The sequence below is a fragment of the Homo sapiens genome, chromosome 4 (genome assembly GCF_000001405.40).
Source record: "Homo sapiens chromosome 4, GRCh38.p14 Primary Assembly".
NCBI classification, from domain to species: Eukaryota; Metazoa; Chordata; class Mammalia; order Primates; family Hominidae; genus Homo; species Homo sapiens.
Window position 1 is genome coordinate 186,519,561 of NC_000004.12, and position 4,119 is coordinate 186,523,679.

Sequence of the window (4,119 nt, forward strand, 5' to 3'; positions counted from 1 at the left end):
TGTTTAATTCTATTACTGGGACTCTCCAGTGCATTTTGCATTTCTCTAAGTGTGTCCTTGAATTCCAGAAGTTGTGATTTTTTTTTTTTTAAGACAGAGTCTCACTCTGTCACCCAGGATGGAGTGCAGTGGCACAATCTTGGCTCACTGCAACCTCTGCTTCCCAGGCTCAAGAGATTCTCCTGCCTCAGCCTCCTGAGTAGCTGGAACTACAGGTGTGTGCCACCACATCCAGCTAATTTTTGTATTTTTAGTAGAGATGGGGTTTCATCATATTGGTCAGGCTGGTCTCGAACTCCTGACCTCCTGATCTGCCTGCCTTGGCCTCACAAAGTGCTGAGATCACAGGTGTGAGCCACCATGCTCAGCCGTGATTGTTTTTTATGTATGCTATCTCTCTCACTGAAGAATTGTCCTTTCATATCCTTTATAGTGTTTTTGATTTCTTTAAGTTGGACTTCACCTTTCTCTGGTGCCTCCTTGATTAGCTTAATAATCGACCTTCTGAATTATCTTTCTGGCAATTCAGAGGTTTTGTCTTGTTTCGGTCCATCACTGGTGAGCCGATGTGATCTTTTGGGGGTGTTAAAGAACCTCGTTTTGTCATATTACCAGAATTGTTTTTCTGGTTCCTTCTCGTTTGGATAGACTATGTCAGAGGGAAGATCTGGGATTCAAGGGCTGCTGTTGAGATTCTTTTGTCCCATGGGGGACTCCCTTGATGTGGTTTTCTCCCCCTTCCCCTAGGAATGGGGCTTCCTGAGAGCTGAACTGTAGGGACTGTGCTTGCTCTTCTGGGTCTAGCCACGCAGCGGAGCTACCAGGCTCCAGTCTGGTACTTGGGAGTGTCTGCAAAGAGCCCCGTGACTCTTCCATCCATCTTGTCATCCATCTTCGGGTCTTGCAGCCGCAGATACCAGCACCTGCTCTGGTGGAGGTAGCAAAGGAGTGACGAGGACTCCGTGAGGCTCCTTGGTTGTGTTTCTGTTGAGTGCGCTGGTTTTGTGTTGGTTGTGCTTCTGTTGAGTGCACTGGTTTTGTGTTGGTTGGCCTCCAGCCAGGAGGTGGTGCTTTCAAGAGCACATCAGCTGCAGTCTTATAGGGAGGATGCGGACCTGCCCTAGGGGGACCTGGCTAAGTATTCAGGTTTCCCATGCAGTGGGCAGGGCCATAGACCTCCTAAGAGAGGATGACCTTTGTCTTAGTAACCAGAGCGGGTAGAGAAAGACCAACAGGTGAGGGCAGGGATAGGCGTGTTTGAGCTCAGCCTCTCCTTGGGTGGGGCTTGCTGCCGCTACTGTGGGGGATGAGAGTGTGGTTCCCAGTCCAATGGAGTTATAGTCCCAGGGGGATTATGGCTACCTTTGCTGAGTCATACAAGTCGCCAGGGAAGTTGGGGAAAGCCAGCAGTCACGGGCCTCACCTCACACCCACGCAGCTGGCAGTCCTAAAGGCTGGTCTCACTTCCATCGTGAACCCCCAACAGCACCACGTCTACTTCTGGGCAGCTGGTAGCCAGGACTGAGAACCTGTCCCAGACCACCAGCCTCCCCTCTTGGAAAGCAAGCAGACTCACAGTTTTTCAGTGTCTCAGGGAGCCTGTAGTGGAGATCCACCTTCTTCATATAGTCTGTGGATGATCTTGGCTTTCCTGGTATATTCCTGTGCTAGTTCTGGGTGTGGTGGCATGTGTCTATAGTCCCACCTACTTGGGGGGCTGAGGCAGGAGGATCACTTTAGCCCGGAAGGTTGACACTGCAGTTAGCAATGATCGTGCCACTGCACTCCCCTGGGTGACCTGCTCTAGTAGGTTTGGAGAGAGCTCACCTGAGTGTTGGTTGTTAAAAAAGAGTCTAGCACCTCCCCACATACCCCGCTTCTCTGCCCATGTGATCTGCACACACCAGCTCCCCTTCCACCATGAATAGAGGAGGCCTGAGGCCCTCACCAGATGCACATGCTGGCGCCATGCTGCTTTTACAGCCTGCAGAATCATGAGACGCCTAAGCCTCTTTTCTTTATAAATTACCCAGTCTCAGATATTTCTTTACAGTAACGCAACAACAAATGAAGACAATGAATGACTCTAATTTTAAAAATGCTCTCTGAAATGGACCTATGTCAACAATTAAAAGGAACTCAGTATTTCTAAATTTAAGTTTAAACCAGGATAAGTGCATCACTTTAAGGAGGTAAAATGTATATATCCTTAATCTTAATTTTATAGGGTCCCATCGTCTCCAGGCGATCCCTAAACTAGATTTGTGTCCACAGTTCTTTTTCCAATAAACCTTGTTAAGCTGAAATAAAATAAAGAGCTAACATAAAGGATAATCACAATAAAGGCATCATTCCTCAGAAGGTCACCAGATCGCTCCTGCTTGGAGTCTTGGCTTACATGTTACCCTTTCTGAAAACTTCCTTTTCATGTTCGCCTACATACTTCATACTGTGAACAAAATGCAATTTCAGTCAAATGAATTCCTTATTCTATTTCTGTCATCTCACTAAACTATAAACTCCTGGAACATGGAGAAAATGTCTTCTTTGCTTCTATGTCTCTAGCACCTAGCTCAGCCTGGTTATAAATCATTCATATTTCTTAAAATTTTGCTAAATGTGTAGATTTAAACCCAATACAGTTCTTATGTTTATTTTTTAAAGTCTGATTAAAAACGTTAAATGATATCATAGATTCAAGTACACTTACCTCTGAAAAGATTCAAAACACGATGCTAAATGAGTAGCAAAAATGAAGAGGTTTTCAAGGGATAAAATAATTTTTCTAAATCAAATTATGCACTTTTTTGCATTTCTTTCCTCAAAAGTGAAGATGCTTTTAAATGTTTATTATCAATAATTCTCAGAAAGAAAATTTTTTCTTGTCTTGCATTCTTATTAGCTTATTCATCAATGTTTATTCCACCAATATGAGCACACGTGGTTTTTAAATTTCTTTATCATCAGAAAAGGTTATATTGAGATAATGAGTCTTGGTAGGAAAGAGTCCTCCTGAAATGCCAGCAGCCCATTAGGATTTCTTACTTAATAACCTTAGCAACCACCAATACTTTCAACAGTCCTTCATGACCTTTCAGTTTCTATGGACAGTTTTGGAGTAGGGCAGATGCTTATGATATGGTTATCACAAGAAAATTTGTGTATTTTTAAGATGCTGGGAGAAAATTTTCTGACAGAAGACATTTCTTTCAAGAGCCTCTGAAGAGCACCTATTTTTGTGTGAGCCATTATGGTACTTAATAATTGAGTTCCCAGATTCTCACCTTTAAAGGAGGTAATACCTTTGTTGAAATTATTATTTATTTTGCTCCGTTTTTTTTCTCTCATTTGTAATCAGGAAAAAGACTGGGTAGGTGGATTAAAAGTTACAGCAGTCTACACACATTTCTGAAAACTTCATCAACTCATAGCCAAATATTTTTTCCAGTTTTCAGGAATGGCATTTCTCCTTAGAATCCAAATAACAATAAAACGCCGATTCTGTAGGCAACAGACAGGTCATTTTACAGCCCAGGAAACTTCCAAACATAATTCCCGTGAATTCTGAAGGCTGCCTATGTCACGTACAAATCCATCCTCTTGACTATCTTTCCTACGGTGCGCGTTTCTTAAAACTCAGTTCGGGAGCTTGGTCGGCCCCTTCGTGTCTGATTGGTGAGCACTTATGGCTTGACCAAAAGTGCTCAAAGCAGAACAAGAATTTCTGTTTTCATTTCCCCCTACTTTTTTCCCTACTGATTTGGATTGAATGAATTTCCGTTATTTCTTTGGCTGTTATTGCTGTTGTTTTATTATGCTATTTTTTTTTTGTCTAGTAGTTACCATCAAATTTTCTAATATACATTTTATATTTTCTATTGGTTTATAGAATTCAGGTCCAAAAAAGTAAGAGGAAAACTTTAACATGTTTACATTAAAATAATCTGAAATTTTCATTGATGATTATTAATTTTAAAAGTATGCATCAGCAATTATTTAGACACTATTATGTTGATTGGTCTTTTTATGTTACAAAGAGTCTAGCGCCTCCACGCATCCCCCCACCCCTCACCTCCATTCTCTCCCCTTGTGATCTGCCCACACCAGCTCCCCTTCCAC